Source organism: Homo sapiens, chromosome 11 (genome assembly GCF_000001405.40).
Source record: "Homo sapiens chromosome 11, GRCh38.p14 Primary Assembly".
Lineage (NCBI taxonomy): Eukaryota > Metazoa > Chordata > Mammalia > Primates > Hominidae > Homo > Homo sapiens.
The window spans coordinates 76,424,870-76,445,353 of NC_000011.10; the positions used below are offsets into that span (position 1 = coordinate 76,424,870).

The following is a 20,484-nucleotide window of genomic DNA, read 5'->3' on the forward strand; positions in this document are numbered from 1 at the left end:
AAATATGCCAAGAAAGAGAAAGTATTTAATCAGATGGGAAAAATGAAAATTCAAATAAGATAGCCAGAAGCCTGAACATTTGATGGTCTAAGAGGTGATAGCAGGTCATAAACAGAGGTCAAGCTCAGGATTCAGGAATCAGGATAATTAAAACAGGTTCGAAAGTGAAATGTGGTGAATGGTTTAAGATATGAGCTGTGGATGAGGTGAGGGTGTCTGGGGCCTGATTTTGCAGGGTGCCGAGAGTGTGACAGACACAGAGATGGGTCTCACTGCCTTAATATGTTAGTACTGGGTTCTACTACCAGCTTGATAGTCTGATGAGCTTCTCTGTTTCAAGGACTAATTTTCTCAGCAAACATCTACTGGGCATCTACTCTGTGCCAGACATTGTTAGGCATCATAAATATAGAGAGGAATCAGATATGACCCATGTGCTTGAGCTTAAGGTCTAATGGAGGAAATAGACACATAAATAGATAATGAGAATAAAATGAAATATATACACAACAGAAAGCAGCACATGGGGACTATGATAGCACAGAGGAAGGGCTCCAGATTCATTAAGGCACAGAAATGGTCATTTCCCTGAGGTCAGACAGCTACAGAGGTGCAGACCCAGAATTAGAGCCCAGCACTGTTAGACTTCTAAGTCCAATTTTTTTTCCACTGTAGGAAACTGGGAGAAGACAGAAATCACTTTATGGTTATGGAGAAAATTTATGTGTGTCAGCTTGGTTAAACTGCAACTGTATGGTTCTTGGTTAAAGTCGGTTAAGAGTGACAGTTGCAGCCAGGCGTGGTGGCTCATGCCTGTAATCCCAGCACTTTAGGAGGCCGAGGTGGGCGGGATCACAAGGTCAGGAGTTCAAGACCAGCCTGGCCAACATGGTGAAACCCTGTCTCTAGTAAAAATACAAAAATTAGCCAGATGTGATGACACGTGCCTATAATCCCAGCTACTTGGGAGGCTGAGGCGGAAGAATTGCTTGAACCCGGGAGGCGGAGGTTGCAGTGAGCCAAGATCACGCCATTGCACTCCAGCCTGGGCAACAGAGCAAGACTCCGTCTAAAAAAAAAAAAAAAAAAGAGTGATAGTTGCTTGAGATCTGGAGGCAGAAGTGAATTGGCAGCCATCGCTCTCTGAAGATCATGGGGGTTTGTTACAGCAATAGGCGAGGAGGCACCAGCAGGTTCACTCTCCTCCACTCCGTATCCAGCTCTTCCTGACTGCTGACCCTGTTGACTAACAGTAGCTCCAAACCTAGCACCAGACAGTTGCAGTGGACCCACAGCCTTCTGCAGACGTCTCCATCAGCTCCTCCTCTGCAGCCCCTTTACAACCTCTTGAGTGTGCTTGGCTGCTAGGATTGACTTCTTCAGTGACTCCATCGATCCCTGCCTCCCTCCAAGTTCCTAGTGGCACTTCCCCAGCTGCACCCACAACTCTATTAGTTTGAATTCCTATAATAAATTCCTTATGCATTAATTCATTGTAGTTCTGTTTTCTTAGGTGAACACTGAGTTCACAAGTAATTGAAGCCTGGATGTGGTGGCCCACACCTATAATCCCAACACTTTGGGAGGTCGAGGTGGGCGGATCGCTTGAGTACAGAAGTTCGAGACCAGCCTGGGCAACATGATGAAATCCTGCCTCTACAAAAAATACAAAAATTAGCCAGGCGTGGTGGTGTGCACCTGTAATCCTGTTACTGGGGAGGCTAAGGTGGGAGGATTGCTTGGCCTAGGAGGTGAAGGTTGCAGTGAGCTGAGATGGTACCACTGCACTCTAGACTGGGTGACAGAGCAAGACCCTGTCAAGAAAGAAAGAAAGAAAAGGAAAGAAGGAAGGAAGGAAGGAAGGGAGGGAGGGAGGGAGGGAGAGAGGGGAAGGGAAGGGAAGGGAAGGGAAGAGAAGGGAAGGGAAGGGAAGGAAGGGGAGGAAGGAGGGAAGGAAGGAAGAAAGAAGGAAAGAAAGGAAAGAAAGAAAGAAAGGAGAGAAAAAGGAAAGAAAGAGAGAAAAGGAAAGGAAAGGAAGAAAGAAAAAGAAAGAAAACAAGAAAGAAGGTAATCAAATAGATAGACCAATGGACTAAGGTTAGAAGTCCAGCTTCACCAACATATCCATAACTCCAGTACCCTGCATTTAGTAGTTCAGAAAATGTTTGTTCAGTTGGATTGATGTTTAGGTTGCTTTAGGTTCTTTAATGGTACAGATATCATTGCAAAGAACGGCTTCTAGGAAACTTTTGTTTTGCTTTTGCTTCTGTTTCTTTTCCTATGGTCAGTTCAAGAGTGTATAGTCATTTATGGCCCAGGCTTTGAAGATTTGACCCAGGACAATATCTGTTGTGTTGGCTTTATGTGCTCTTCATCTCTTGGGGTATGATAGATTTTCCTCTGGCTTCGATTTTTCTCACTCCCTCACCTTCTGTCCCTTGCAAAAACAGAGAAAAACCTCACTCTTGTGCATTTACTCCAAAGAAAATATTTCACACTCTAATCAGATCATCAAAAAGCACATATTGGGTTACACTTATGGGAATGCTTCTCTGGCCTGGCTAGGCTGGAAGTGGGAGAAACAAAAACATCTGGAAATTGAGGCTCTGCTTACTTGGGCTGAATGGACAGCAATCAACTCTGAAACACTTAATTGCAGGGAAATTTTCTCTTTGCTACTTAGACCATTCAGCACTTGCTGGGAGAAGACATGTTGCATGCTCACTTTATCTTCTGGAAAGCTGGATTAGATGTTACATTTCAGTTAGAAAACCATTTACGGAATGTCTCTCCTAAACTAGTCCCTCTGCTAGTTGTTGGAGATAGTGCCTTGAGGTGTTTTCAGCTTATGGGGGAGGGTAACACAATGAGTTACAGCACAAGTCAGCATATAGTGCTAGAAAAGAGGCATAAACAAGGCATTATGGAACAGAGAAGAGGGCAATAGCTGATAAGGGGGTGGTGGAGTAGGTGAAGGAACCTAAGAGGGATGTTAAAGGATGTATAGGCAGAGGAAATTAACAGTTATTAAGCACTGAGATTTCACAGAGGAAGATGAATAAGCCTAACAATCATGCATTGATAATCTATCCTGTGCCAGTCACTGAGCTAGGTAGTTTACATATTTTATCACATTAAATCTTCCCTAAAACCGGCCAGGTGCAGTGACTCACATCTGTAATCCCAGCCCTTTGGGAGGCCGAGGTGGGCGGATTGCTTGAGCTCAGGCACTTGAGACCAGCCGGGGCAATACAGCAGAACCCCATCTCTTAAATAAATAAATAAATAAATAAATAAATAAATAAATAAATTTTCCCCATAACCCACCTGGAAGAAACTGAGGCACAAAGAGGTAATTTGTTTAAGAGCTTCAAAGAGGTAGAATTGGGATTCAAATCTAGATTTCTCTGACTTCCAAGAACATTCTCTGCTCCCCCTTGTGCTTGGAGAATTATTTTCAAAAGACAGTGAGATGGATTATGAAGAGCAAAAAGGATTTTGACAGATTTTGAAAGGCACAGAGGTGCAAGAAGGGATGGCATTCTAGGCAGAGGAGTAATCAGAGGGGTACAGCCACAGGGCAGGGTGTGAAGGTGCAAGGCCTGTTTGAGGCACTGTAGGCAATCTAGTGGGACTGCAGGAAGACATTGCCACATGCCCATACCACTGTCTTCTCAAATTCAGCAGGCCAATCATCAGTTCAACACTGCTAGGGGATTCAGAGCTCAAAAAGCCTCAGTCCTTGCTCCCAAGGAGTCTCCAATCTAATTATGATCTGGTGAGATAACTGCCATTACTACTGATTGCCTTGTATGTTTCAGCACAGAATGTATGTGTGTGTGTGCATGCAAATACTCATTCAAGCATTATTTGGACCATTTCCTTCCCATAATTATTTCTTGACACATATACTCCCTGGGCTCTCCATAAGCGTGTGTTCCTTTATTACCTCTGCCTTCAGCAAGGCTTGTATTTGAACTACTGGCCTTGCAGCGGTAAGTTTAAAGCCCATAGCATCTCAACAAGTGTCCTTTCAATTTGACAAAGACCTGACGTGATCTTCCATTAGCTCACTTAGAAAATACTGCTCAACTCTGGGGTTGCAAAGAAAAGATCTTAATTGGAACTGACAAGAAAGTGGACACCTTCTACCATTTCTCTGCAGACTTCACAAGTGCTCAACACTTCTTGAAAGAGAGTATGGCTCCAAGCCTTTCCATTTAGCTGGCTGGAGCAGAGTTTTAAAAATGCACTTCATCTCTGGCAAATCACAGCAGAACACCATCAACAGCTGGAAACTCTCTGAGGTGAAGACAAGTTGGATATTATGCTTGGATTTATAGCCCCCTACCCCATGATAGCTGATTTCCATTTCTGACAGGGTTATTATTTCCATCTTTATAAAGTATCTTGAATTTCACCTTGGATAATTACTGATTATCATCAGCTCCTCACCTGAGGCATCTTAGCACTTGGGTGAACATTTAAAAAAGGGGCTTTTTTTTTTCCCAAAAATGAACTGGGGAAAACTCAGTGTGTGAGACTATGTCTTTATTTCTATTTTCATTTGCAATCCCCTTTGGTTTTCTAATGATCAAGCCATTCATCAGTGTCAATTCACCATCCAGAGTACAGGCAGTGTTTTTGCCACTTGGGTTCCAGTATGGATTAAATGGTAATAACTTGTGTTACTAAGTCTGGTGGTACTATGGTAAACATAGATCCAAAAAGTTTTAGGGCATAGACAAGATCTCAGTAGCCATCTAAGGTTTTTATTCAAGGATGTACGTCACAATCTTCCAAAATTTAATAGAGCTCTGCAAGTTATTCTGACAAGTACTCCCAGTTGAGGACCACTAAGAGTCTAACATCCCTCATCTTGCTTTTCAAGGTTGCCATTCTATGAGTACTTTTTTTTATGTCTTCATGCCTGCCTTTGCTTTTCCTAGTTTCTCTGCCTTGCTATCTTTGATACTCTCTCCTCACTACTCTGCCTGGTGAAATGCTGTTCACTTTATGAGGTCTAGCCCAAATGCCACCTCTGCTATGAAGCCTTCTGTGATGGAAAGAATCCTTCTTTTTTTTTTCCCCTACTCTCATAGCACAGTACCTTTAGGAACATCCTGTGTTATTACCTTCTTCTATAATGTATACAGCTATCTGCATGTCTATCTTCCCATCCCATCTTCCCCACTCAACTACGAGCTCCAGAAGAATAAAGGTTGTACCTTTTTAGTCTTTTTTAGAGACAGGGTCTTGCTCTGGCACCCAGGCTGGAGTGCAGTGGTACAATCACAGCTCACTGCACCCTTGACCTTCCAGGCTCAAGTGATCCACCTGCCTCAGCCTCTTGAGTAGCTAGGACTGCATGTGTGTACCACCATGCCCAGATAATTTTTGATACATATATATATTTTTTGAGATGGAGTCTCGCTTTGTTGCCCAGGCTGGAGTGCAGTGGCATGATCTCAGCTCATTGCAACCTCCACTTCCCAGGTTCCAGTGATTCTCCTGCCTCAGCCTCCCGAGCAGCTGGGACTAAGGCACATGGCCCCATGCCCAGCTAATTTTTTTTATTATTCGATGGGGTTTCACCATGTTGGCCAGGCTGGTCTCAAACTCCTGACCTCAGGTGATCCACCCGCCTTGGCCTCCCAAAGTGCTGGGATTACAGGCGTGAGCCACTGCGCCCAGCCTCGATTTTTGATTTTTTTGTAGAGACAGGGTCTCACTATGTTGCCCAGGCTGGTCTTGGAACTCTTGAGCTCAAGGAATCCTCCTGTCTCAGTCAGCCAAAGTGTTGGGATTACAGGTGTGAGCCACCTTGCCTGGCCTAAAGTTTGTTCCTTATTCATCTTCATATCTCCAGGGCCTGGCATGGAATGGGGCCTGGTGCTCATTCTTTGAATAAATGAGGAAGCTGAAAAGTGAAGAGACTTTACATTGGTTCACTTAATTTAGCCAGATCTGGACTTCCTCTGCATTTATTCAGTAAATTGCTTATAAAGAAAGATGTGCAAGGATGTGAAGGAGAAGGACCTAAATGGCCATGATATTAGTTTTAAATATTATTTGTAAAACATCACTTTCCTAACAAAAGCAATAATAGCTGGTTTAATCTGAATTAGTAATGAAAGAATGGATATCAACTTGAACCTCAGGATGCGTTTTCAGGAAAGCAATCTCACAAAATTCTAAAACTTAATTGACTGCCTCAATCAGTGGAAGAAAATATTAGCCTGAAAATCAGGAGACCTGCTTCCTGGTTCCTGTATGACTTAGAACAAATTGCTTCACCTTTCTGGGTCTCAGACTTCTCTTATATAAGATGGGGCAGTTAAAGTGGAATATCTCTGAGGTTTTTTCTAGCTCTGAAGTTCTATATCCTTAGCCAGAATCATTAGTTGACTGATGTCACAGTTTCTTTATTTTGGCTCTACTCCATATTTAGGAGAATGAAATATTCTTAATAAGATAGAGTTTTACAAAATATATTTTGACATTATAATGATAATATAAATACCTAAAAGGAAAGTTGGAAATAGAGAAAAGAAAAAAGAATCATCCATAGCTCCACTACCCTAATATGTTAATGTTTGGACATGTTTTCTTCCTTTTTTTTTTTTTTTTTTTTTTTGAGACAGAGTCTCACTCTGTTGCCAAGGCTGGAGTGCAGTGGCATGATCTCGGCTCACTGTAACCTCTGCCTCCCCAGTTCAAGTGATTCTTCTGCCTCAGTCTCCTGAGTAGCTGGGATTACAGGCACATGCCAGCACGCCCACCTAATTTTTGTATTTTTAGTAGAGACAGGGTTTCACCACGTTGGTCAGGCTGGTCTCAAACTCCTGACCTCGTGATCACCCGCCTCGGCCTCCCAAAGTGTTGGGATTACAGGTGTGAGCCACTGCACCCGGCCTCTTCCATTTTGTTTTTATATTCACATGCATATGCTTTTCCACTTATTATAAGCATTTTTCTTGATGTCAATTATTTGTAACGTTCATTTAAAATGACTCCATAGTGAGTAGATGCTTGGGATAGGTAAATACTCTTCTATTGCAAGATAATTAGGTTGTCTTCAAGTTTTTGATAGCATTGAAATTCAAATCCCTGTAAATATAATTCTTTCCATCTTTTGGATTATTCCCACAAATAGGAATCCTATATCAAAGGTACAGCAGAGGAAAAACATCTTTTCCTTCTACCCTTCTAAGTTCTGAAGTCCTGGTAACAAAAGACAGATTAACAAAAGAAAAGCATTCAAATCTATTTAATGTAAATTTTACATGATATAGGAACCATCATAAGGAAATAAAGACCCAAATAAATTGCTAAACCTAAGCACTTACATGCGAGGTTTGATGAAGAGTGGAAAGTTGTGGAAAAATATGATAGGACAAAGTGGGTATAAGCTAAGGTTAATAAGCTGGGGGAAACTTAGCAAGGCCTGTTTGCTCAGATTCTTCTTGGTGCCCCTCTATCTTGGAGAAAAGGATGTTAGGGATAGCACCTCTCACAAGTGCTAAGAGGTTCCTAAGACCTGCTTCGGGGAGAAGGGTGGGAGGAGGTCAGAGAGATCTTCCTGCATCAGTCATTTTCTCAAACTCCTTTAGCTTAAATATTCAATATGCCAAGATGCCATATTTTGGGGTAGTGTATTTTGAGCCCCATAGAAGGGTATGAACGTTTGAGTGACTCTTATTACACATTTCCATGGTGTATTTCAGTGAGCGACCGTGATTTTACTCTGCAGAATTCTTTCACCTTCCTCTGACAGCAGTACCCCAATTTTCCTAAGGGAAACCAAGCCCGCCTTCGCACTCACTCCATGTTTTTCGGGAATAACTGACTTTACCCACATCGCTTCCTCTCTCCCCAGAGTAACATGTGGTTCACACCTGGCAAATCAGGGCATTACATGCTCCTGTCTACAGTTCAGGGATGGGCATGTGACCCAGATAGAGCCCATAGCAACAGAGCAAGGAGATTTTGGTAAGACTGTTCATGAGATGGCAGGTGCTCTTTTCTGCTGAGGCTGTAAGCAGGGTGGATGATGTAAACCTGGGGCTGCTGGGAACCAACAGATGGAACCTGAGTATGAAGCGAACACAGATAGCAGAGCTCAGAGATGAGGAGATACTAAGACTGGCTCTGTTTGAATCCCTAGATCAGTAATGCCTGAAGCCAAAACTACCCCACAACTTTTCAGTTAGTGAACAACAAACATTCTTTTTTTTTTTTTTTTTTTAAGAGACAGGGTCTCACTCTGTCATCCAAACACAACATAGCTCACTGTAAGCTCAAATTCCTGGGCTCAAGCCATCCTCCTGCTGTAGCCTCCTGAGTATCTAGGACTAGAGGTGCGCATCACCATGTCCAACTAATCCATTGTTTAAGCCATTTCATTCATTTGTTCATGTTTGTCACCAAAAGAAAAACAAAGCCTAATTGGTATAGGTGGGCTTTTTGTTTTCTTTTCTCTCTCTTTTTTTTTTTGAGGCTGGAGTGCAGTGGCATAAACAAGGATGTCTCATTTCAGCCTCCACCTCCTGGGCTCAAGTGATCCTTCTGCTTCAGCTTCCTAAGTATCTGGGACCATGGGTGCATGCCATCAAACTTGGATAATTTTATATATATATATATATATATATATAGTAGAGACAGGGTTTTGTCATGTTGCCCAAGCTGGTCTCGGATTCCTGGGCTCAGGTGATCCTCCTGCCTCAGCCTCCCAAACTGCTGGGATTACAGACATGAGCCACCATGCCTGCCCTGTTTTAATTTTCACTTTTTAAAAAATTAATCAACTTGATTTTTTAGAGAAATTTTAAGTTCATAGCAAAATTGGGGATATTGTGTATATCCCATCCCCATACATGCACAACCTCCCTCACTATCAACATCCTGCACCAAAGCGGTGTGCTTGCTACAATCAATAAACTTACACTGACATAGCATCAGTCACTGAAAGCCCATCATTTACACCAGGGTTCACTCTTGGTGTTGTCCATTCTATGGGTTATGACAAATGTATAATGCCACGAATCCACCATTATAGTGCTTTTTACTTTTATTGAGATACAATCTATATAAAGCACATAAATCATTTACGTACAGCCTAATAAACTTTCACATATGCAATATCTATACATATAGCCCCTACTCAGATCAAAATATAGAAGATTGATAGCATCCTAGTAGGCTCCCACGTGTTCTATAGGTCGCTCCCTAAAGGTATTTACTATTCAGACCTCTATCACTATAGATTATTTTCAACTGCTTTTGAACTTTATATAATATAAATGAAATCTCACCCTTTGATATCCAAGAATTGTTTTATTTTTGTTTTTTAAGCCACATGCATGGATATGTTCTACGGTCATCATGGCATATTTATAAGTAGCTAAATCTTCTACATTTTATCTCCAGCATTGGACCATGGTAACTGACATTCAGAATAAACACTTTTTTTTTTCTTTGAGACAGGTTTTCACTTTTTCACCTAGGCTGGAGTGCAGTGGCATGATCATGGCTCACTGTAACCTCAAATTCCTTAGCTGAAGCAATCCTCCTGCCTCAGTCCCAAGTAGCTAGGACTATGGATACATGCCACCACACCTGGCTAATTTTTAAAAAATGTTTTTATAGAGATGGAGTCTCACTATGTTGCCCAGGCTGTGAATAAACACTCTTAAAATGCTGCAAGTTTCAATTTATTAAACATATTCAATACGCTTTTCAAGAATCTACAATTTGCCAAGCACTATATTAAAGGCTGGATATAATAAAAAAGGGGTGTAGTTCCTTCCTTCAAGGAGCTTTGGCATTGGCAACTACCATGGAAACAAGCAATTATATTCTATATTATTAAAGAAAGAATAAATTTCATTCATTATCTGATACTGGGAAAGTGGGGGTATAGATTTGAGGAAGAACGTTCATTTACTGAAATATTTATTGTGCTCATCTAGGTCCTGGGCATGGAGAATACAAAGAATCTTGGCCTATGCCTTCTAGAAGCTTCCTACCTGCTAGAAGGAATTATTATCTCAATACAGTCTGATAATTACCTAAAGTATGGCATGAAACAGGTGCCTTGGGAACCTACAGGAGGAAAACTGATTGTGCCTGGTGTGGGAGGAGGTGAGGCTTCTAAAAAAGAGGGAATTTGGCCAAGTCTCTTGGACAAAGAGCAGAGTGCAGTGGGAGCATCCCAAAGATTGATCTCCATGCTTCCACTTTTACACTCTTATTCTCATTCTCACAGTATCAAATATTATGTCTAACATTTGAAAATGGCCTGGCATTTTCTCCTAAAGTTGAACACATGAATATTTAACTTTAGGACAAAAGTTGACCCAACAATTTCTCTAAGTCTTGGGTTCAAATGACTTAGAGAAATTCATAATTTCAATAGGCGGCATGAACAAGAATATTCAGAGCAAACTGTTCACATGAACAAAAACAATAAAATGTTCATCAATGGGAGAATGGGTGAAAAAATGGATAAATTCACACAATGGAGAAACAACAGTTAAAATAAATGAACCATAGCAACATGCGACAATATGGATGACTCTTAGCAATATAAATAAAAACAGTAAATAAATTCTAAAATATTACATACAGCATCACATACTTTTCATGGTATAGATTTTTTTTTTTTTTTTTTTGAGACGGAGTCTCACTCTGTCGCCCAGGCTGGAGTGCAGTGGCGTGATCTCGGCTCACTGCAAGCTCCGCCTCGCGGGTTCATGCTATTCTCCTGCCTCAGCCTCCTGAGTTGCTGGGATCACAGGTGCCCGCCACCACGCCTGGCTGTTTTTTTGTATTTTTAGTAGAGGCGGGGTTTCGCTACGTTGGCCAGGCTGGTCTCAAACTCCTCACCTCATGATCCTCCCGACTCGGCATCTCAAAGTGTTGTGATTACAGGAGTGAGCCACTGTGCCCGGCAGTTCTATAAATTTTAACAAAGTTTTTGTAACTACCACTACAATCAAAATACAAAGCAGTTCCATCACCCTCCCCCAACTCCAAACCCTTGGCAGCCATTGATCTGTATGCTGTTGTGATATTTGTACCTTTTGGAGAATGTCATACAAATGGAATCATATAGTATGTAACCTTTGGATATTGGCTTCTTTTACTCAGAATAATGCCTTTGAGATTCACCCAACTTCTTGTGTGTATCTTACCTCTTTTTTATTGCTCAGTAGTATTCCATTGTATAAATGTACCACAGTTTACTTATTCACTCACTGAAAGACATTTGGTTATTTCCAGTTTTTGGTGAATAAGAACAAAACTGTTCTAAACACTCATGCATGTTTTCATGTGAAATTTTTCATTTCTCTAGGCAAAATGTGTACGAATGTTATTGCTGAGTCATATAGTAACTGTTTGAAAGTTTACAAGAAAATGCCAAACTGCTTTCTAGAGTGGCCATACTATTTTGCATTCCTATCAGTCATGTATGAGAGTTCCAGTTGCTCTGCATCCTCACCAGGAGCTGGTGTTGTCAATGTATTTTATTTCAGCCATTCTATTAGGTGGGTAGTGGTATTGTATCATGATTTTATTTGATTTAAGAGACGGGGTCTCACCATATTGCCCAGGGTGGAGTGCAGTGGCTATTCACAGACGCAAGCACGGCACACTACAGCCTCGAAACCCTGGGCTCAAGTGAGCCCAGCATCTGGAGATGTCTCCTGTCTCAGCATCTGGAGACAGTCTCTGCACCCAGCTGTGACACTGTCATTTTACTTTGCATTTCTCTTATGGCTAATCATGTTCAGTATGTTTTCTTGTGCTTATTCCCATCTGTATATCCTCTTCGGTGAAGCGTCTTTTGCCTATTTTAAAATGGGGTTGTTTTCTTACTTAGATACAAGTCTTATGTCTGATAAGTGTTCTACAAGTATTTTTCTCCCAGTTTGTTGCCCACTGTTGCATTCTTTTAATGGTGGCTTTCACAGAGCATTGCCTTGGCAGCTTTGTAACAAATCAATTGACCTCAGACTACCACTTATAGAAAGAGTATATTTACTTTTCCCTATTCCTTCAGTTAGGTGCAGCTAAAAACCCTGGACACTATATGTAAAACATTATACATAAAACAAATGTAAGAAGAATCTGAAAGGTGACAAGAAGGCAGACCACCTAAGGATCTGGAACCCAAGGAATACACAGAAATGAGTTCCCTGGGTTTTCTTTTATATATCCCAGATTGGGTACTGGAGAAGCTGGCAACCCAGAAATGCCAATGGGCACAGCATTTTTTTTTTAAAGCCCTAGGAAAAGCCTGCTCTGTCTAGTCAAAGGACTAGGAAAGCAGCAGCTTTGCAAGACAGAACATTTTTAGATGATAATGTCTCTACTCCAGATAAGTACCACGGGAAAAAAACTACAACCCAACCCCCACCCCCACCAGCAAAGGCCAGGTTCTAATGAGACCACTCAACTTCCTTTCTCCATTTCTGGGTTCATGTCAGAGAATACACAGGGGGAAGCTTAGACTTTCATCCTCAATGGACAGTAACAAGGCCCTCTCCTAATACTTGCCCCTCACACTTGTCAGCCCACCACATGTAAAACATGGAATTTCACCTGTACCTGGTGGCAAAGAGGTGCCCTTCCCTTCTCAGGTGGGATGGTGTCAGACAAGGCCAAGTGGAGAGTTGGGACTTTTACCTCCAACCAGTGGTAATGAGGCCACCCCCAAACCCCCACCTAGCTAAACTGAAATGTATGCATTTCCCAAAATTCTTATGTTTATGCCTGTGAGTTGGCCATTGCTATTTCTTTCTCGGATTTTAATAGCCTTTCCTCCTTTTTCTGTTGAACTTCTATCTTTTAAGGCCCTACTTGCATGCTGTCTTCTTGGTGACTTTTCCTTACTAGCTCCTAGGAAGTATTAATGGCTCCTTAACTCTTTTCTTTTCTTTTCTTTTTTTTTTTTTTGAGACGGAGTCTCACTCTGTCGCCCAGGCTGGAGTGCAGTGGCAAGATCTCCATTCACTGCAACCTCTGCCTCCCAGGTTCAGGCCATTCTCCTGCCTCAGCCTCCCGAGTAGCTGGGACTACAGGCACCCGCCACCACACCCGGCTAATTTTTTGTATTTTTAGTAGAGACGGGGTGTCACCGTGTTAGCCAGGATTGTCTCCATCTCCTGACCTCGTGATCCGCCCGCCTCGGCCTCCCAAAGTGCTGGGATTACAGGAACTCTTTTCTTACAACTTGCTAATACCAGCTAGGTGCGGTGGCTCACGCCTGTAAGCTCAGCACTTTGCGGGGCAGAGGCGGCTGGATCACCTGAGGTCAGGAGTTGGAAGACCAGCCTGGCCAACATTGTGAAACCCCATCTCTACTAAAAATACAAAAATTTGCTAGGCGTGGTGGCACACACCTGTAATCCTAGCTACTCGGGAGGCTGAGGAAGGAGAATCGCTTGAACCCAGGAGGCAGAGGTTGTAGTGAGCCGGGATCACGCCAGTTGCACTCCAGCCTGGGTGACAAGAGTGAAACTAAAAAAAATTAAAAAAAAAACAACAAAAAAAAAACACACTTGCTAATACCATGAACACCATATTGTATGGCAATTATCTGTGTATGTGTCTGTCTCCCCCACTAGATTATGAGTATGTGAAGGGCAGTTGATCATGTTTAGTAATTTGTTTCTCCGGAGCCTGACAGAGCTTCACCCACAGTGGGTGATGATAAATGAACTTTATATGTAAATTCTTTAACTGAAATTATTTTTAGAAGAAAGAAAAGATATAGCTAGCCTTTAGAATTATTCTCATGCTTAAAAAGCATACTTTTTGGTTACCCAAAGCCTCTGCTTTTATCATGTTAGTATGAAGCTGGTATGCTGTTCTATATAGTTTGTTTTCAGATTGATCTTTTTCCCCTTTAGTTCCTTCTACGCACACGGATCATTTTGTTTTTTAAATTTAATATTCATCCATCTAAAAAAGGTATCATGACATGGCTGGGCACAGTGGCTCCTGCCTGTAATCCCAGTACTTTGGGAGGCCAAGGCGGGTGGATCACCTGAGGCCAGGAGTTCAGGACCAGCCTGGCCAACATGGTGAAACCCCATCTCTAGTAAAAATACAAAAATTAACCGGATGAGGGGGCACGTGCCTGTAATCCCAGCTACTTGGGAGGCTGAGGCAGGGTTAATTGCTCGAACCTGGGAGGCGGAGGTTGCAGTGAGCCAAGATCATGCCATTGCACTCCAGTCTGGGTGACAAGAGCGAGACTCCATCTCAAAAAAAATAATAAATAAATAAATTTAATATTCATCCATCTAAAAAAGATACAATGACATGGCCTGGTGTGGTGGCTCACGCCTGGACTCCCAGCACTTTGGGAGGCTGAGGCGGGTGGATCACAAGGTCAGGAGTTTGAGACCAGCTTGGCCAAAATGGTGAAACCCCATCTCTACTAAAAATACAACAATTAGTGGGGCATGGTGGCGCACGCCTGTAGTCCCAACTACTTGGGAGGCTGAGGCAGGAGAATCGCTTGAACCTGGAAGGCGGCGGTTGCAGTGAGCCGAGATCGTGCTACTGCACTCCAGCCTGGGCGACAGAGTGAGACTCCATCTCAATAAATAAATAAATAGATAAATAAATAAATAAATAATTGGTCTCAAACACTGGCTATATTTTATGGAAAATAAAGAAAGCCTCTGAAAGCAGAACCTAGAGGCTTGAGGGTAGGGTCGAGAGCTGTAGAGAATCATTCCTAGAGATCATTAATGCCTCTGAGAGCGGAACCTAAAGGCTTGAGGGTAGTCAAGAGCTGTAGAGAATCATTCCTAGAGATCATTAATGCTTCTGAGAGCGTAACCTGGAGGCTTGAGGGTAGAGTCAAGAGCTGTAGAGAATCATTCCTAGAGATCATTCCTGATCAAGGAACTAGCATCAGAGCTGTTATGAATCAGTGGCCCTGGCGTGCCTCCTTTATTCCCCTTTCTGATTAAGGTCTACAGTGGTTTTTCCATGCCTGTCCCACCATTGTATGTTGGATGTGTGGGGAAAAGGTAACTTGTCTCTTTAGTTCCCGAGTCTTTACACTGAAAGCAACTGCACCTAAGAAAACTAACCCATATCTGGACTTGATTTAGGTGACAAGATCTTGGACCTCAAACCTAAGCATGTTGCCAAAATGGGAAGACTTTGGGTGGTAGGAATGAGTCCATTTGCATGTGGGAGGAATATGAACTGTTGTGGACAGAAGATAGACTATGGCAGTTGATATTTCTAAAAATGAGCACAGTAATATTCTGGTGTTCCAGGATGCTACTATGCTTCTATCAAGAGATAAAATCTATTTCCCCTTTCCTTGAACCTGGGTGGGTCTGTGACTGATTCCAGACAACAGCCAATGTCAACTGCTGGTCTTATGAATGAACGAGCCCTCATAAGATTCCAGACCTCAGTCTTCAAATTTCCCTTGCTGATGTCAAGAGGAGTAGAGATTAACTGTCCCCACTAAGTCCCACCCAAATTGGAGATTCATGAGTAAAACAGATAATTTAGGCCACAGCAATGGTTATGGAATCACAGATAACCAGACCTCCTTAACACCTGTGTGTTTGGGGGAAGAGTCTTCTGGTGATATTTGAATTTGGACAAATGAGTTTTCTCTAGGGCTTGGTTTCCTCAACTGTAAAATGGAACAATAATTACCAAGTCATAGGAATGTTGTAAGGTTTAAATAAGATAAGCAAGGTGTTCTTTTCATAATGGGTCTGTAATAAACGCTACGCAGTATTATTTCAACTTATTCCCACCAGTTGTTCTAGCTTTACTGCTTTGTACAAATTCACCTTCAGAGTACGTGAGTTTTATATACATTTATACAAACATATATAAAATCTGATTTTATATCTAAATCTCTCTGTATACATATTGCAACATTATAGCTTCTGTAACACTCTTGGATCACTTGCTCTGGGGCAATCCAGTTACTATATCCCAAAGATGCTCAAGCAGCCTTATAGGGAGGTCTACATAGTGAGAAATTGAGGCCTCTTTCCTTGCTGACTTTCCAACCAATGTGAGTGAGGTACCTTGGAAGCTGATCCTCCAGCCCCAGTCAGCCTTCAGATAGCTGCAACTGCTTGGGAGACCCCAAGCCAGAACCACCCAGCTAAGCCACTCTTGATTCCAATAGAAAATGCAAAAACTGTATAAAAATTTAAAAAATTATTCTTGTTTTAAGTCACTAAAGTTTGGGATAATTTTTCTTATGCACTAAGAGTTAACTAACAGCTATATCAAACATGAGGAAAGATGGGAAACTGATCACAGGTTGAGGACTATTTCGGGGTCGATGGAAGGACAGAGATGGTTGAATAAACTTGAAAGTACTGATTGAGACTGAATTTGAAATAAATAACCATGGGGTCCAGGACAGAAAGGAAAAAAAGTAAATCCAGCAAAGGGGAACAGATTTCTTTTTTAAAAAAATTTTTATTTATTTTTTTGAGATGGAGTTTCGCTCGTTGCCCAGGCTGTGCAATGGCGCGATCTCGGCTCACCACAACCTCCGCCTCCTGGGCTCAAGCTACTCTCCTGCCTCAGCCTCCCGAGTAGCTGGGATTACGGGCATGTGCCACCATGCCTGGCTAATTTTGTACTTTTAGTAGAGACGGGGTTTCTCCATGTTGGTCAAGCTGGTCTCGAACTCTCGATCTCAGATGATCCGCCTGCCTCGGCCTCCCAAAGTGTTGGGATTACAGGCGTGAGCCACCGCACCTGGCCAGGGGAACAGATTTCTGTGTATTTTCCCAGACTAGAGGTAGTTATAATCATGTCTAATAGGATAGTAAGTCTCAGTTTTCCTTCTTTGGTTGAGTGTAGAGTGGCTCTCATTTAATTCACCACACATTTCCTGGAGCCAAAGTGCTTTTATTTAAAATCATGGCTCTGTTACTTACAAGCTTGTTACCTTGGGCCAGCTATTTAACCTCTCTATGCCTTAGTTTCTTCATTCATAAAATGGGGATAAAAGTGTATCTGTAAGGTTATAGTAGAGATTAAACAAGTTAATGTGTATAACGTGATCTGGAATACAGAAAGTCCTATGTAAGTATTAGCTATTATTCTTATTATATGCTAGGCTCTACAGTACACAGACCTGATTGGTTCCTCTCCTCAAAGAGCTCGTTGTCCAGTCAGGAAGATTTTCTTTTCTTTTTTTTTGAGACAGAGTCTTGCTCTGTCGCCCAGGCTGAAGTGCAGTTGCGCAATCTCAGCTCACTGCAACCTCCACCTCCTGGGTTCAAGAGATTCTCCTGCCTCAGCCTCTCGAGTAGAGTACCTAGGACTACAGATGCACAACACCATGACCGGCTAATTTTTCTATCTTTAGTATAGACGGGATTTCACCATGTTGGCCAAGCTGGTCTTGAACTCCTGACCTCAAGTGATCAGCCCACCTCGGCCTCCCAAAGTACTGGGAATACAGGCATGAGCCACCATGCCCGGCCAGGAAGATTTTCAAATAAATGGCCATAATTCAGTGTTCTGAGCTCTGTAACAAGGTGTACACTGAGTGGTAGGGGAGCAGAGGCAGGGATGTCTGTCTTATCCTAGAGGGAAAGACAGGGGCAGGATAAGCTTTTTGAGGAAAAAGTTTGAGTCTAATCCTTAAGGAAGAGCATGTTGGGAACATTTGAGACTATAAAGCAGTCACAGGCAGCATGGGAAAGGTAGTTTCTGACTGCAAAATAAATACGGTTAGGAGAAAAGGGAAGATGTGAACTGTAGTATGTAATGACCAGCACCATCAACATCACCTGGGGGCCTGTTAAGACTATAGGATCCAGGCCTTACCTGATATCTATACTACCAATATTTGCGTTTTAACAAGATCCTCAAGCGGTTCCTATTGACCATTAAAGTTTAGAACCACTGGTCTAGAGCATAGGCTCTGGAGCCAACATAATCAGGTTTAAATCCCAGCTTTAGCTTTTTTTTTTTTTTTTTTTTTTAAGATGGAGTCTTGCTCTGTTGCCCACGCTGGAATGCAGTAGAGCGATCTTGGCTCACTGCAACCTCCACCTCCCTGGTTCAAGCAATTCTCCTGTCTCAGCCTCCCGAGTAGCTGGGATTACAGGCACATGCCACCATGCCCAGCTAATTTTTGTATTTTTAGTAGAGGTGGGCTTTCACCATGTTGGCCAGGCTGGTCTTGAACTCCTGACCTCAAATGATCCACTTGCCTCAGCCTCCCAAAGTGCTGGGTTTACAGGCGTGAGCCACCATTTACTTATGTGTGACTTTAGGCAAGCTATTTTGCTTCTTTCCTAGACTTTAGTTGCCTCCTTTGTAATTAGAGATAATAAAAGTTTCCACCTCATAAAGTTGTTCTAAGGACTGAATTACTATGTAAAATGCTTAGACCAGTATGTGGCACTTAGTAAGCACAAGGATTGACTATAATAATTCATCACTCATATGCTACTTCTTAAGGTCAGAGTCAGTTTTATAAGCCCCTTGTCTTTCGATTTGTACTCCATTGTAGAGGAGTAGACATTCATTGTCATTTTGACATTCACTGTAGAGGAAAGGACATTTGGAGGTCAGAAGACCTGGGATTACAAAGCCTAGCTCTCTTCCAATTCCTAGCTCCGTGAAATTTGGTGAGTCCTTGGTACATCTATGTTTTTCTCATTCATAGTATGAAAGACCTTAATCGTACCTGTCACACTGAAATGTTGCGAGGCTCAAATCAAATAATATATGTTAAAGTACAAAAATCCTCTATGAAGATTTCACTTACTATCTTTCCAAGAGTTCTTAAGCAACTGGATGCATAGGAAGGTCAGGGAGACAGCGGAGGGAGGGCCTGGTGATTAATATGTTCCACTTTACGATTTTCTGAAGGTGTAGGTTGGGTTTCAACAACAGTGACTTTCCTAGACCTCGGAGGGTATTTTTAGCTAATGGGCAAATAGTAGTAGGAAACTTAAATGCTGTTATTTACCTTCTCTTCCTAACCTACAGTTCCACTCAAGAACATGAAGAGTCTCATACGTTTGTATAGTGGTTCACAACTTACAACGTTTACGTGGTGCATCACAAGATCCCTATAGGGTAGTATTAACCCAATTTTTCAAGAAGGAAACTATGTCTGGAAATTGTAGAATGCACATTAAAAACTCTTTCTGACGAGCGTTTCTACCGGATCCGATGTTACCCAAAGTACAAAATTTAAAGAGGGAAGTCAATCACAAGATTTCATTGAATCTTCAGTATCAGGCAACTGGCTTCTATTTTATGGCCGCAAATAACTATATATTGGGCCCCTTTTCTCACCTGTAAAATAGGAACGAAAAGACCTTCTCCACAAATAAGATGAAATAAGAACAAAGGCTGAGGGTGAACCTACCACGTCGTAGGGCCTCAAATAAATTCCTTCTCCTTCTTGCCCTTGACAGAGATAGCACGAGATATCACTACCATTCCCACTTCACACGTGGAGGAAATCCAACGCGAGAACGCTCGGATTTCCCCTTCTTTACTTGCAACAACTCCGTAACCCGCAAATCGGCTACGGACAACTGCGATGTCCACTATGTTAGTTCTCGTAGCGTGGATTCTCTCTCCTCAAGATGCCATCTGGGGGGCTAGAGGCCACTAATAATTGCCCTCACGATCGAAGAAACTCGATCCTAATCCTCGACGGCACTTCAGGAACAAAGCTGCTCTCCCATCGTCCCTAACCTCACTACCGTAAAGGTCGCAGCAGAGCCCCTGCTCCAACCGCTAGCGCCATCTTGGCCGCTACGTGTGACGCCACACGTAGCAGAGAGCGCAGCCGATTGGCTGGGAGACGGCAGCCCAGGAGAGGCGCGCGAAGCCAGAGACAGGAGGGTATGCAGGAGAAACCAAGGGAACTACAATCCCGGCCTTCCTTGCGCGTACGACAGCAAACCTGGAGCGAAAGAGGTTGGAGTTTGGATTCGGACCACAACTCCCAGCACCCTCCGCGATGTCTGTCCTTTTCTTTCATAACGCGGAGGAAAAGAAGGACAAGATGAATGGAGGCCTTTTGGTGTTTGTTCTCCGAAAGGCGGGAAAAGCGAACTACACCTCCCGACTGGCCGCGCGCGGCTGCGCCTGCGCCCTGTTACCTGTCGCCATCTTGCCCCTTCAGAGGCACCGCAAACAAACCCAATTCCTGGTGTCCCCTAGTCTTGGCGGAGGAGCCTTTTAGATGAGCCCCGAAAGGCCGGGCAGGTGGGTGACTCTCAGGCAGGGTCCTGGGAAGAGCTGGCAGGCCAGCCAGGCTAGAGGAGCGCCGGGCCAAGCATTCGGAGCCCGGCTTGGGGCTCCCAGCCCCATCCTCCGTTGTTTCCTAACGGGATCGTGGGGCTCCCCGGGGTGGACTCAGGGGGACTCTGGCTGGCCTGGTGCTGGGACTCTGGGGGTTTAGCTCTGGGAGACTCCCGGTGAGTCCAGGTC

General features: G+C 43.0%; 1 protein-coding gene and 1 long non-coding RNA gene across 55 annotated transcripts in view, besides 3 other annotated features; one reads left to right on the forward strand and one right to left on the reverse strand.

The window, feature by feature from the left end:
* Window positions 9,056-19,811, reverse strand: EMSY-DT (EMSY divergent transcript). Of its 5 annotated transcripts, NR_199705.1 has the most exons (3): window positions 19,409-19,811; window positions 18,800-18,865; window positions 16,466-16,770 (listed from the first exon to the last, which is right to left on the reverse strand). It is a non-coding gene; the product is annotated as an EMSY divergent transcript (long non-coding RNA). The 5 variants fall into 5 exon arrangements; NR_186348.1 differs by lacking the exons at window positions 16,466-16,770; window positions 18,800-18,865 and adding an exon at window positions 9,056-10,957; NR_199706.1 differs by lacking the exon at window positions 18,800-18,865 and having other exon boundaries at window positions 19,412-19,811.
* Window positions 19,154-19,789: an enhancer, noted in NCBI's record as "H3K27ac hESC enhancer chr11:76155067-76155702 (GRCh37/hg19 assembly coordinates)". NCBI's record gives its function as "activates a minimal SCP1, AML or CMV promoter by ChIP-STARR-seq in primed H9 embryonic stem cells {active_cell/tissue: H9 hESC(primed)}" and the evidence as "EXISTENCE:reporter gene assay evidence [ECO:0000049][PMID:30033119]".
* Window positions 19,790-20,426: an enhancer, noted in NCBI's record as "H3K27ac hESC enhancer chr11:76155703-76156339 (GRCh37/hg19 assembly coordinates)". NCBI's record gives its function as "activates a minimal SCP1, AML or CMV promoter by ChIP-STARR-seq in naive H9 embryonic stem cells {active_cell/tissue: H9 hESC(naive)}" and the evidence as "EXISTENCE:reporter gene assay evidence [ECO:0000049][PMID:30033119]".
* Window positions 20,127-20,356: an enhancer, noted in NCBI's record as "active region_5289". NCBI's record gives its function as "activates an Ori minimal core promoter by ATAC-STARR-seq in GM12878 lymphoblastoid cells {active_cell/tissue: GM12878}" and the evidence as "EXISTENCE:reporter gene assay evidence [ECO:0000049][PMID:35858748]".
* The window catches only part of EMSY (EMSY transcriptional repressor, BRCA2 interacting), a 108,014-nt gene continuing 107,678 nt past the window's right edge, over window positions 20,149-20,484 (forward strand). For all 50 annotated transcript variants that reach the window (XM_047427269.1, NM_001300942.2, XM_047427298.1 and 47 more), the window contains exon 1: window positions 20,149-20,259. The gene's annotated coding sequence lies outside the window, so the exon portion shown is untranslated. The remainder of the gene's footprint in view (window positions 20,260-20,484) is intronic.